General features: G+C 43.1%; 1 protein-coding gene across 11 annotated transcripts in view, besides 1 other annotated feature; it reads left to right on the forward strand.

Moving 5' to 3' along the window:
• CASP7 (caspase 7) overlaps positions 1-9967 on the forward strand; it is a 51716-nt gene extending 41749 nt beyond the window's left edge. For 5 of the 11 annotated variants that reach the window (NM_001267056.2, NM_033338.6, NM_033339.5 and 2 more), the window contains 5 exons: positions 90-226; positions 709-837; positions 4420-4595; positions 5363-5492; positions 8369-9963. In NM_001267056.2, coding sequence (NP_001253985.1) covers positions 90-226; positions 709-837; positions 4420-4595; positions 5363-5492; positions 8369-8598 — 802 coding nt within the window. In that variant the 3' untranslated portion in view covers positions 8599-9963. Of the gene's footprint in view, positions 1-58; positions 227-708; positions 838-4419; positions 4596-4874; positions 4949-5362; positions 5493-8368 lie in introns of all 11 variants that reach the window. The other 6 variants (NM_001267057.1, XM_006718017.4, XM_017016763.2 and 3 more) reach the window with 4 other exon arrangements.
• Positions 27-1226: an enhancer, noted in NCBI's record as "CDK7 strongly-dependent group 2 enhancer chr10:115480728-115481927 (GRCh37/hg19 assembly coordinates)". NCBI's record gives its function as "activates an origin of replication core promoter dependent on BRD2, BRD4, P300/CBP, MED14 and CDK7 cofactors, with strong dependence on CDK7, by STARR-seq in HCT116 cells {active_cell/tissue: HCT116}" and the evidence as "EXISTENCE:reporter gene assay evidence [ECO:0000049][PMID:35650434]".
• Positions 9968-13334: the final 3367 nt, after the last annotated feature.

The following is a 13334-nucleotide window of genomic DNA, read 5'->3' on the forward strand; positions in this document are numbered from 1 at the left end:
CCCGCTTTCACACTAGTAGTAAAATGAAGAGACGTTACTATACACACTTCTTCCACAGCCCCTGACTCTGGAACTTTATATTTCACCAGTAAGAAGAAGAAAAATGTCACCATGCGATCCATCAAGACCACCCGGGACCGAGTGCCTACATATCAGTACAACATGAATTTTGAAAAGCTGGGCAAATGCATCATAATAAACAACAAGAACTTTGATAAAGTGACAGGTGGGTGTGTGGGCATGGGCTCATCTTTCCGGTTCCCTTTCATCTTCTCCTATTTGTATCAGACATTTATGGGAGAAATGCTGCACCTACCTACTGTGGCAGACAGCCCCTCTGAAGGCAAGGTTCCTGTATTCAGGGGAAAGGGTTATGCGGAAATCAAGAATGTTCAGTCTAAGGCCCCACCACGTGTATTAGCTGATGCGGGGCTTTGACCAAAGGGCTAAGAATCCAGGGGAACCTTGGCTTTGATGGGAGCTGAATGTTACCAGGAGGCTCACCTGTTGCGGGCAGGTGGCACTGTTAGCCTCCCCTTTGAGTTTGCTTCAGTTCATTTAAATTGTGGCCTTGGAAGGCATTGTATATACTTGGAGTGTTTCTGCTGCAGCTGGCACCAGTACATTTAGCACCCGGCCCACTGGCGCCCGCATGTAGTATTCAGCCAGGGGATGCTCACCTGTGGATTCATTGCTTGATTCCCACAGGTATGGGCGTTCGAAACGGAACAGACAAAGATGCCGAGGCGCTCTTCAAGTGCTTCCGAAGCCTGGGTTTTGACGTGATTGTCTATAATGACTGCTCTTGTGCCAAGATGCAAGATCTGCTTAAAAAAGGTGAGTGCTGCCAGGAGTGGTGGCTCATGCCTGCAATCCCAGAACTTTGGGAGGCCAAGGTGGGAGGATCACTTGAACCCAGGAGTGCAAGACTAGCCTGGGCAAAATGGCAACACCCTATCTTGAAATTTTTTTTTTTTTTTAAGTAGCCAGGCATGATGGCATGTGCCTGTAGTCCCAGCTACTTGAGAGGCTGAGGTGGAAGGATTGCTTGAGCCTAGGAGGTTAAGGGTGCAGTGAGCCATGATAACACCATTGCACTCCAGCCTGGGTGACAGAGTGAGGCCCTGTCACAAAAAAAGAAAAGTTGAGCCCTTACCGCCCCTCCATCTATCTTCTTCCTGTACCCAAGGGAGGCGATCCGCCCACCATGGCCAGGCCCATCTCAGAAGGATGCCTGTGCAGGGCAGAGGAATTTCAGTGTGAGAAACCTCCCTCCCTCTTGACCAGTCCATACCTGTCCTGGAGTAGGCAGGTTTCCTTGAGGAGCCTTCAATCTCTTTGTAAAATGATGAAATCAGCTTAAAGTCCAGCAAAAGAAATAGATTATTTGTATACAGAATGGTCACAATTTCAAAAGACTCATTCCTGGGAAGTAACAAATCTGTGTCATCCTTTCTAGAATGAAGTGTAAGCGTAAACTTTTCCCTTGTGGCAGATAGAGAATAATAATTCCATATACTTTAGAACTATGTTATTTTTTATATAGCATGTTCACAAAATTATTTCATTAGATCTTTAACAGAAGCCCTGCAATGTTGGGCAACAGAATATTATGCTCATTTTATAAATATAGGGGTGGGCCACGTGTGGTGTCTCACACCTGTAATCCCAGCAGTTTGGGAGGCCAAGGCAGGAGGATTGCTTGAGGCCAGGAGTTCGAGACCAGCCTGGCCAACATGATGAAACCCCGTCTCTACTTAAAAATACAAAAATTAGCTAAGTGTGGCGACACACACCTGTAATCACAGCTACTCGGGAGGCTGAGGCATGAGAATCACTTGAACCCGGGAACCCAGGAGGCAGAGGTTGCAGTGAGCCAAGATGGCACCACTGCACTGCAGCCTGGGTGACAGAGCAGGACTCTGTCTCAAAAAAAAATAATAATAATAAAATAAAAAATAAAATAAAAGAAGGGGTGGAGCTTCAGAGAGGAAGAAAGATACACTGAAGGGTGCAGTTAGTAGGGGCAGAACCGAAACCCACGCTCTGGTCTTCTAACTCCAGGACAAATGCGTTTCCTATTACACGACCCTCTCTAATGGATGCCACCTAAGGTATTCTGGCATTTAGGGCAAGTGTTTGAAAGTAACATCCTATCAATTCACTAGACACAGACCCACAGGAAGTAGATAGGAACACAATCTAAATCACTGCTATTTTTCTTAACCTCACAGCTAAAACAAAAAAAGTCCCCACCATCTTTTTTTTTTTTTAAAACTAGGCATTTTTCCTAATTTCCTCCAACTTGACTCTTACAAGCTGACCTTTTGTACCCTAGTAGGTTATGTCCTAGACCAGACTAGAAATCAGGAGTCTGAGATCTGGGTCTGGCCCAAGTTCTAACAGGCAACCCAGGCAAGGCAACCACATCATCCTGATTTTTTTGCTTTCCTGAAAGGCAGATTATGATACCAGCTCCTGCTGTTTCTTGGGGATGGAGTGAGGAAGCCTGTGAGCCAAGAGGAATTTTGTGAGCGTGCTTCGAGAAGTATAATGGCCCAGATAGGCATATGAACTTGTCCCAATTGTAGTTTCTGTTTGGTTTTTGTTTGTTTGTTTTGTTTTGTTTTGTTTGAGACGGAGTCTCACTCTGTCGCCCAGGCTTGAGTGCAGTGGTGCAATCTCGGCTCACTGCAACCTCCACCTCCCGGGTTCAAGCAATTCTCCTGCCTCAGCCTCCCAGGTAGCTGGCATTACAGATGCGTGCCACCATGCCTGGCTAATTTTTTTTTTTTTTTTTTAGTAGAGATGGGGTATTACCATGCTGGCCAGGCTGGTCTCAAACTCATGACCTCATGATCCGCCTGCCTTGGCCTCCCAAAGTGCTGGGATTACAGGCGTGAGCCACTGCGCCCGGCCGTTTCTGTTCTTTTGAAAGGTGATTCATTCTGCCCAAGTCCAGAGCATGTCACAATCAGAGAATTCTTGCTTATTGTCCTATCAAACTAGTAAAGCACTTATTTTTTCTGACTTTACATGCAGTCAGTTCCAGTGAAGACAAAACTCCCATTTTCTAACTGTCCTAATTTGTGTACTCTTAAAATAAGCTAAGAACTCCAGCTTTCATCACCATCACCTTGTACCTCTACTGTCAAAACTAATACAAGAATCACTGGGGAGATAATGCAAAGTGTCTTGGTAATTCGAATGGGAGAGGCCACTCTTACTCTGCCTGGAACTGGTGAGGTAGCTGGACTTTGCAGTGTCCTGGGCTTGAAAAACGGCCCCAAGGCTCCAACGTGTTCTACCACCTTTGGGGAAGGTTATGAGACCTCTCCGAGATTCCATTTTTTTAAATCAGTGAAATAAAGATAAATGAGGCCTACTTCCAGTCTTGTAGGAATTAAAAATAACTCATGTAAAGTACCTAGATCAGTGTCTGCACATAGTATTTGCTCAAGAAATTCTAAATATTATTCCTTCCCCCCTCATTAATCATAGAGAAGAAGAAAGGATATGTGTATTAGCTAGTTATAGGTTGGTGCAAAAGTAATTGCGGTTTTTGGCATTAAAAGTAATGGTTAGTTCACCTATAGCTGGTTAGTTAGTATCATAGAACCTTTGGTGAGTTCTAGCTGGGCCAACTAGCTACATGGTTTATGATTCCTCTCCTCAGTATCCTAAATGGACAGCCAAGCTAGTATTTTTATTTATTTTTCTTTAATTTTGTTTAATTGTGGTAAAATACACATAACGTAAAATTACCATCATAACCATTTTTAAATGTATAGATCAGAATGACTTCACATGGTTGTGTCACCATCACCACCATCCATCTCAGGCTTTCTTTCATCTTCCGTAACTGAAACTTTATCTCCATTAAACACTAACTGGCTATTTCCCCTTCCCTCCAGCCCCTGGCAACCACCGTTCTATATTCTGTGATCTTGACTACTCAGGGTACCTCCTGAAAGTGGAATCATGCGATGCTTGCCCTTTAGTGACTGGCTTATTGCACTTAGCGTAATATTTTATTCTCTTTAACAAACACTTGCATGATGCTTATTATGTGGCGTGTTTTACAAATATTAACTCATTTAATGAGTTAATATTGATCTTCAATGTACAGATAAGGAAATCAAGGCACAAAATGGTTCAGTAACATTCCTGATGTCACAGAACTAGCCAACAGCAGGGCCACACACATCAGCCCCCATACACTGTACCTATCCCTCTCTCTTAACGTCTTAGATAAGTCTGATCCTTTGAAAGGAGCCCAGTCCCCAGCTCCTCCCCTCCCCTCCCTTGTAACCCTCTAATAGTCAGAGGCAGCTGCCAGGCTGCCTCTGAAAATGCTGCATCTGAGGCTCCCCAGAACTTAGACCTTAATTCTTCAATGTTCGTATTATTTGCTTGCAGCTTCTGAAGAGGACCATACAAATGCCGCCTGCTTCGCCTGCATCCTCTTAAGCCATGGAGAAGAAAATGTAATTTATGGGAAAGATGGTGTCACACCAATAAAGGATTTGACAGCCCACTTTAGGGGGGATAGATGCAAAACCCTTTTAGAGAAACCCAAACTCTTCTTCATTCAGGTAATCTCTTTTCAATGCCAATACACTTGAAAATGGGAAAGATTGCAGAGTGACGGGGATGGCATCATTTTTACAAATCCAAATGCTGCTTCCATATTCAAATTAGGGTTTTATTTTTCTGGGAAAGATTACAGAGTGACGGGGATGGCATCATTTTTACAAATCCAAATGCTGCTTCCATATTCAAATTAGGGTTTTATTTTTCTATCTCTGAATGGTTAGCATATGTGTTTCCACTGGATCACAAATTATGAAGGTTTCTTTTTTTTTTTCTTTGAGATGGAATCTTGCTCTGTCACCCAGGCTGGAGTGCAGCGGCGTGATCTCGGAAGACTGCAACCTCCACCTCCCAGGTTCAAGCAATACTCCTGCCTCAGCCTCCTGAGTAGCTGGGATTACAGGCACGCACCACCACGCCTGGCTAATTTTTGTATTTTTAGAAGAGAGGGGTTTCGCCATGTTGGCCAGGCTGGTCTCAAACTCCTGGCGTCAAGTGATCCACCCACCTCAGGCTCCCAAAGTGCTGGGATTACAGGTGTGAGCCTCCACACCCAGCCACAAATTATGAAGGTTTCTTTAAGACATTGCAATACTTTTATTTGCTTTGCTTAGTCATTTGAAACACATTCATTCATTTATCTTTTCATCAAATTATCATTGAGCTCCTAAGTATGCCAGGCACAGTTCTAGGTATCAGGACACAGCAGTGAACAGCACGTACATTTCTGTTCCCAACTGCATAGAATGATGTCTGCTTTGATATTTAGGCTTGCCGAGGGACCGAGCTTGATGATGGCATCCAGGCCGACTCGGGGCCCATCAATGACACAGATGCTAATCCTCGATACAAGATCCCAGTGGAAGCTGACTTCCTCTTCGCCTATTCCACGGTTCCAGGTATCATGTCCATTGTCTGCCAAGCATACTTCAGTCCATTCCATCATCAAAACACAGATTTGGGGACTGTATTCGTTTCCTCTTGCTGCAGTAATACATTACTACAAACACAGTGGCTTAAAATACACAAATGTATTATCTTGCAGTTCTGGAGGTCAGAATTCCAAAATAGGTTGGCAGGGCTACGTTCCTTTTGGAGGCTCAAGGGAAAATCCATTTCCCAGCCTTTACGTGGCATGTTAGAACCACCTGCATTCCTTGGCTGTGGCCCCTTCCTTCATCTTCAAAGCCAGCAACTTTGCATCTCTCTGACCCTTCTGTCGTTTACCGTGCTCTCTTTCTGACCACAGCTGAGAAAGGACACCTGTGATTAGATGGAACCCACCTGGATGCTCCAGGATCATCTCCCCATGTCAGTCCGATACCCTTAACCACATCTGCAAAGTCCTTTCTTCCACATAAGGTTTCATGTTCATAGGTTCCAGGGTTAGGGCGTGGACATCTTTGGGCACCATTATTCTGCCTACCACAGAAATGCATTCACTTTTCTCTCCAGGAAAGCTGAATTCTCTCATTTGTTATTATTATTATTGTTTTAGTAGTTATAAGGACAAACATTTCTGTAGTACTTTGCAATATAGAGTATCTTTCATGTGTTTTTTCTCATATACAATAATACCGTAAGTATTTAGGAAAGGTGTTATTCCTGTCCTGATTTTACAGGTAAAATAAAAGAATTTTTAGTTTGGATGAATCTAAGTGATATGCCTAAGGTCAGGTAGAGATTTCAGTGCACAGTAGAGCTGTGAGTCAGCCAAGGTTCCTTTACACGGCAGCCTGTACACAGATACCAGAAAACGCCAGCAATGGGCAAGCCTACTCACTATTTACCAAGCACTACATTTGACTGAATCTGTTCAATGAAAGTCCTTCCTTTGTTTTGGGTACAAACCAGCACTAAGTTAGAATTTTCCCAGCTGTAATAGTAGTTGTGTCAAGTATTTGGCACAAGGGTACTGGTTACAGTAAATAGGTTGATGTGTTTGGAAAACCAGCTCTGGCAGGATCTACAGATGAGATTTTGTGAGAGCGATAACTTCACAAGTTTTAAGGATGGCATAAGATCGAAAATAATTTGGTCTTTCTGCTCTTGAGAGGGAGGTGGTGTAATGGGGGCATATGTCTGTGTAAACAAACCCAGTGGTAGAGTTGTAGTTGCTCTGAGCAAGGAGGCAGTTGAGAAAAGCTATGTTAAAAAGGAGCTGCTGGGCCGGGCACGGTGGCTCACATCTGTAATCCCAGCACTTTGGGAGGCCAGGGCAGGTGGATCTCAAGGTCAGGAGATTGAGACCATCCTGGCTAACACAGTGAAACCCCATCTCTACTAAAAATACAAAAAAAAAAAAAAATAGCTGGGCATGGTGGTGGGCGCCTGTAATCCCAGCTACTCGGGAGGCTGAGGCAGGAGAATGGCGTGAACTTGGGAGGCGGAGCTTGCAGTGAGCCAAGATCGCACCACTGCACTCCAGCCTGGGCAACAGAGCAAGACTCCGTCTCAAAAAAAAAAAAAAAAAAAAAGGAGCTGCTATAACTGAGCCTAAAATTTCAAACAACATAGGTAAAAGAAGGATGGCTTGTCAGACGGAGTGCTGAGGGGCTGGATAGCCCAGTGCATTTGGTAAAACTCGGGGCTGGATCTCAGGGTATATCAGTCTTCTTGGGCTGCTATAGCAAAATACCTTAGACAAGGTGGCTTAAACAACAGACATTTATTTCTCTAAGTTATGGATGCTGGGAAGTCCAAGATCAAGGTGCCGGCTAAGTTGCTTTCTGGTGAGGGCTCCCTTTCTAGCTCATAAATGGTCACGTTCTTGCTATAGCCTCATATGGCAGAGATTGAGAGCAAGACTGAGTGAGGTCTGTTGTGTCTCTTCTTATAAGGACACCAATCCTCTTGGATCAGAGCCCTACCCTAGTGACCTCATTGGACCTTAATTACCTCCATAAAGACCCTGCCTCTAAACACAGTCACATTATGGGGTGCGGCTTCAATAAATGAATTTTGGGAAGACATAGTTCAGTCCATAGCAAGGGATATGACAGGGCATGGCCAGGGTCAAACCAGGACAGGTAGGCAGGTGGCCCTGTCATGGTGGAACCTGTGTGCTATGTCAAGCAGCCTGAACTTTACTCAGATAAAGTGGCGCAAGGGAACGGTTTTAGGTTAGGGAGTTATAGGATGAGATTTGCCCTCCCGGGTCATCAGGCTCTCCTGGCCCTGCCCCTCAGACAATTGGGCATTCAGCTTCCTTGTGCCTCTAGATTTCTTCAGCAAGGTCCAACTCTACTCCTATGTATCCCAGCAGCAGGAACACATCTCAGAATTCCTTGAGGTTCTCTGCAAATTCCTTCTCTAGTAGGCTTGGATTAGGAAGTAGCACTGACCCCTAAAGGATAGTGAGGAGTTCCAGAGTTATGGAATAGACCTCCAGCATTTCCTTTGGAAGTCTGCACATGCAGATCTGTCTCACACCCACGTATCTGATATTTATCAGGTGGGTACGTCCATCAAAACTGACACAAGAGAGTACCCTGGCAACATCCACCAATGCTGGCCCTTAGTGATGCTGTCTGTCATGGGATTTCCATGCTGAAATACTCAAAGCATTTTCTAGCATCTTCATGCCAGCCGTTAAATCTCAGATGTTTGCTCTCTGAGCACACCAGCATAATTCTCATTAATGACTTGTGTGCAGAGTAGAGTGAAATAGTTTCTGAAAAGCAGGTGTGAAAGTGCCATATACTCATTCTCATTGGTGAGTGGAGCAGCTGTCAGAATTAGCTGATTTGGTCGTCTCCTTTCTTTCCTGTTGAAGGCTATTACTCGTGGAGGAGCCCAGGAAGAGGCTCCTGGTTTGTGCAAGCCCTCTGCTCCATCCTGGAGGAGCACGGAAAAGACCTGGAAATCATGCAGATCCTCACCAGGGTGAATGACAGAGTTGCCAGGCACTTTGAGTCTCAGTCTGATGACCCACACTTCCATGAGAAGAAGCAGATCCCCTGTGTGGTCTCCATGCTCACCAAGGAACTCTACTTCAGTCAATAGCCATATCAGGGGTACATTCTAGCTGAGAAGCAATGGGTCACTCATTAATGAATCACATTTTTTTATGCTCTTGAAATATTCAGAAATTCTCCAGGATTTTAATTTCAGGAAAATGTATTGATTCAACAGGGAAGAAACTTTCTGGTGCTGTCTTTTGTTCTCTGAATTTTCAGAGACTTTTTTTATAATGTTATTCATTTGGTGACTGTGTAACTTTCTCTTAAGATTAATTTTCTCTTTGTATGTCTGTTACCTTGTTAATAGACTTAATACATGCAACAGAAGTGACTTCTGGAGAAAGCTCATGGCTGTGTCCACTGCAATTGGTGGTAACAGTGGTAGAGTCATGTTTGCACTTGGCAAAAAGAATCCCAATGTTTGACAAAACACAGCCAAGGGGATATTTACTGCTCTTTATTGCAGAATGTGGGTATTGAGTGTGATTTGAATGATTTTTCATTGGCTTAGGGCAGATTTTCATGCAAAAGTTCTCATATGAGTTAGAGGAGAAAAAGCTTAATGATTCTGATATGTATCCATCAGGATCCAGTCTGGAAAACAGAAACCATTCTAGGTGTTTCAACAGAGGGAGTTTAATACAGGAAATTGACTTACATAGATGATAAAAGAGAAGCCAAACAGCAAGAAGCTGTTACCACACCCAGGGCTATGAGGATAATGGGAAGAGGTTTGGTTTCCTGTGTCCAGTAGTGGGATCATCCAGAGGAGCTGGAACCATGGTGGGGGCTGCCTAGTGGGAGTTAGGACCACCAATGGATTGTGGAAAATGGAGCCATGACAAGAACAAAGCCACTGACTGAGATGGAGTGAGCTGAGACAGATAAGAGAATACCTTGGTCTCACCTATCCTGCCCTCACATCTTCCACCAGCACCTTACTGCCCAGGCCTATCTGGAAGCCACCTCACCAAGGACCTTGGAAGAGCAAGGGACAGTGAGGCAGGAGAAGAACAAGAAATGGATGTAAGCCTGGCCCATAATGTGAACATAAGTAATCACTAATGCTCAACAATTTATCCATTCAATCATTTATTCATTGGGTTGTCAGATAGTCTATGTATGTGTAAAACAATCTGTTTTGGCTTTATGTGCAAAATCTGTTATAGCTTTAAAATATATCTGGAACTTTTTAGATTATTCCAAGCCTTATTTTGAGTAAATATTTGTTACTTTTAGTTCTATAAGTGAGGAAGAGTTTATGGCAAAGATTTTTGGCACTTTGTTTTCAAGATGGTGTTATCTTTTGAATTCTTGATAAATGACTGTTTTTTTCTGCCTAATAGTAACTGGTTAAAAAACAAATGTTCATATTTATTGATTAAAAATGTGGTTGCTTAATTCCTAACCAGTCCAGTTTGCTTTCCTTTTGAAGTTATTTATGGCAATGGAGAAATGAGAAAAGAGAAAACAGGATAAGAATTGACCCTATTGGCTGGGCGCAGTGGCTCATGCCTGTAATCCCAGCACTTTGGGAGGCCGAGGTGGGTGGATCATTTGAGGTCAGGAGTTCGAGACCAGCCTGGCCAACATGATGAAACCCCACTTCTACTAAAAATACAAAAAAATTAGCCAGGTGTGATGGTGGGCACCTGTAGTCCCAGCTGCTCAGGAGGCTGAGGCAGGACAATCGCTTGAACCCAGGAAGTGGAGGTTGCAGTGAGCCGAGATCGAGCCACTGCACTCCAGCCTAGGCGACAGAGTGAGACTCTGTCTCAAAAAAAAAAAAAAAAGAAGAAGAAGATTTGACCCTATTGACTTGACCTCAACACATAATATATAATTTTTTTGAAGTGAGTACACTAGTAAGTAAATTATCACTTGGGAAGCCAGGACTCTTCACATAAAGGGTTAATCAATTTAGAAAGATGTTTGTGATGGGCTGCCATTTATTAATTTTGGCAATAAAATCAGGTAACATAAAAGTATCTTCTTTCAAATAAGAAAACTAATTTTGGGTGTGTTTACTAGACTTGTCCTTGGTTTCCTGCCATCTAAAATATGCCACATGTTCAAAATTGGAGATCATAACAGACATCTACACTACTATTCCCAGAATTCACAGGCTGTTCTTTGGAAAATAAGCTATCTAATAAAGGTCTCTATCACAGAAATCAAAGGGCCTAAGTGCATTGCAATTTGAAGTAAACACCATACAATCTACTTATTTGCCTTGTAACCTTCATTAAAGGGAAAGAAATGCTCCCAAGTGTCAGGATTAATTTTTCCTGAATTCTCTGGGAAGTTATACCTTACAGATAATGAATATTACCTTATATCCCTTAGACTTTTAATAAAGAGTCTTAGTCCTTGAATACTTCCATGGGCAGACACTTATTTATTGAGATCAGAAATCCGAGTTCAACTTGGGAATGTGTTCAGTGATACCACTTTCATTCTAAACTTTCCAGACTTTTTATATTCCGAAATTCTGAGGACAAGTTACCCTAAAGGAGAACTCGGTCCTGGTGAATATACATTCCCAATTCTCATCGTTGTTGAGAACCCCAGTTCCTCCTCACAGGAGTATCAGACAGGGCACTGCCCTTGTCCTATGGGAAGACAGTGCAGACTACAGCATCCCCACTGGCTTTATGAGCTCAAAGCTGGATTTCTGTTTGGATTTTCATTTTCCTCAGGGTGCCATTAGGTTATTTAAATTTTTAGCTATTGGGTCAGGCACGGTGGCTCATGCCTGTAATCCTAGCACTTTGGGAGGCCAATGCGGGCAGATCACTTGAGGTCAGGAGTTTACAGGAGTTTAAGACCAGCCTGGCCAACATGGTGAAACCCTGTCGCTACTAAAAATACAAAAATTAGCCAGGCACCAGTGGTGGGCACCTGTAGTCCCAGCTACTCCGGAGGCTGAGACAGGAGAATAGCTTGAACCTGGGAGGCGGAGGTTGCAGTGAGCTGAGATCTTGTCACTGCACTCTAGCAACAAAGCAAGACTCCATCTCAAAAAATAAAAAAATTAAAAAAAAATAAATGTATTTTTTAAATATATTAACTATTAATACATTCACAGACAGCTTTGGGCTCTGCCCTGGGCTTTTTCTCTGAGCAAATTTCCACAAGCTGTCATCAGCCCAATGTGTTTATGAACTGCTACAAATCGGTCTGAAAGTCCTGCGGTCACTGAATTTACATGATTTAAAACCTCGAGGAAACCAAGGCCTCTCTGTGAGAAAGAAAACAACATCCACCAAAATGTCCTAGACACTGGCTGACAAATCCCTTATTTTGCCCAGTCTTGCAGTGCGTCACCTGAAATCTTTTATTACCAGCTACTCTGGTGACCAAGGATTGATTGCCTTTGACTTCCTCGAAGCACACCATTTTTGCCAGCTTTTCATCTTTCAGGCCCTTTTCCAGAAAACCTCTGGCCAGGTAAGAGGCTGTGTTGGTCATCAGTTTATAGCAAAAATTCTTCTGTGTTAATTAGCCACTGGACAAATAGCAGCAGCCCAGGTATCCTAAAGAATTCTTCGAAGACATGCAGATCAGAAAGCTACTTTATACTGTTTGCTTGTAAATGTTTTAGTGCCTTGCAACATTGAGCGAGTGCCTGGACTGGCCACATCAGCATCCCCTGGGAGCTTGTCAGAAATGCAGACTCTCAACCCCGCCCCAGACCTACTCAACGTGAATCTGCATTTTAACCAGATTCCCAAGTGGTCCATGTGTACATTACAGTTTAGGAAGCTCTATTTTGAGGACAAGGACCACATGTATATATATATATATATTTTTTTTTGGTCTCCCCTCTGCACTGAACATGGAGCTGATAGTACATGCCTACAAAGGATTAATAAAAGAATATTTTGGAGCTTTCATGGAAGACAGGTTTTCAAGCTCTCCTAACCTCTTTTAAAATTCCACGATACCCTTAAAGTACATAGTACACTTTTTACACTCTTTGCCCAGCTCCATGTTAAATAAGCCTTTGCTGAGTGGCATAAAAGGATTATTTATATGATCTCAAAGTGTCTGTGAATGTGAATTGCAGCCTTTAAAATGTTTTCATAAACATAATAGGATTAAAGGAGCCATTTCTTGCATGCTTTTTTTGGTGGCAGGACTGCTGAGCATTGAGGCTTCAGAGCTTTCTTTTCCACCTGTCCTATCCCTAGAGCCCAGTGGACACTGGGAGAATTATTATTTCTCCTTGACAGTGTGCCCTCAAGCCATAGGTCACCTTTTTGATAGACCTCAGGGCTTTGTTTTGGATCAGGTGGCAAATAATTCTTTTTGATTCATAAATCATTAACACAAACACACCAAGGACATATTTGGAAAGCCCAGCCACCACCACAGTACTGAGGTGGACATGGAAACTCCATTAACTTGTAGGTTCATGCATGATCGGCTCTCTAAAAGTACGCAACAAACATCAGAAAACACAAAAGCCAAATACGATGAGTTTGCTTCGGCATAACTTTTGGTTTTTATGGCACTATGAATATTTATGGCACTGCAGTTTTCTAACAAATATTTGTTGTAATCATTTAAAGCCAAACTGTCAAAGAATTTAAATTTGGAAGGCACATGGGGTTATGGCTGCAAATAAACGAGGCTGAGCATTTCGCGAGCTTTAAGTGTCTGACCCAAGTAAATAGTATAAGATTCGAGAAAGAGTTGGGAAAGAGGAAGGTGTACATGGTGAGATAGGTTTGGTCTCCGTTGCTAGTTCTAGCTTCCGTTATTTTAAGTAGATCT

The sequence above is a fragment of the Homo sapiens genome, chromosome 10, assembly GCF_000001405.40.
Source record: "Homo sapiens chromosome 10, GRCh38.p14 Primary Assembly".
In the NCBI taxonomy this organism is placed as follows: Eukaryota; Metazoa; Chordata; class Mammalia; order Primates; family Hominidae; genus Homo; species Homo sapiens.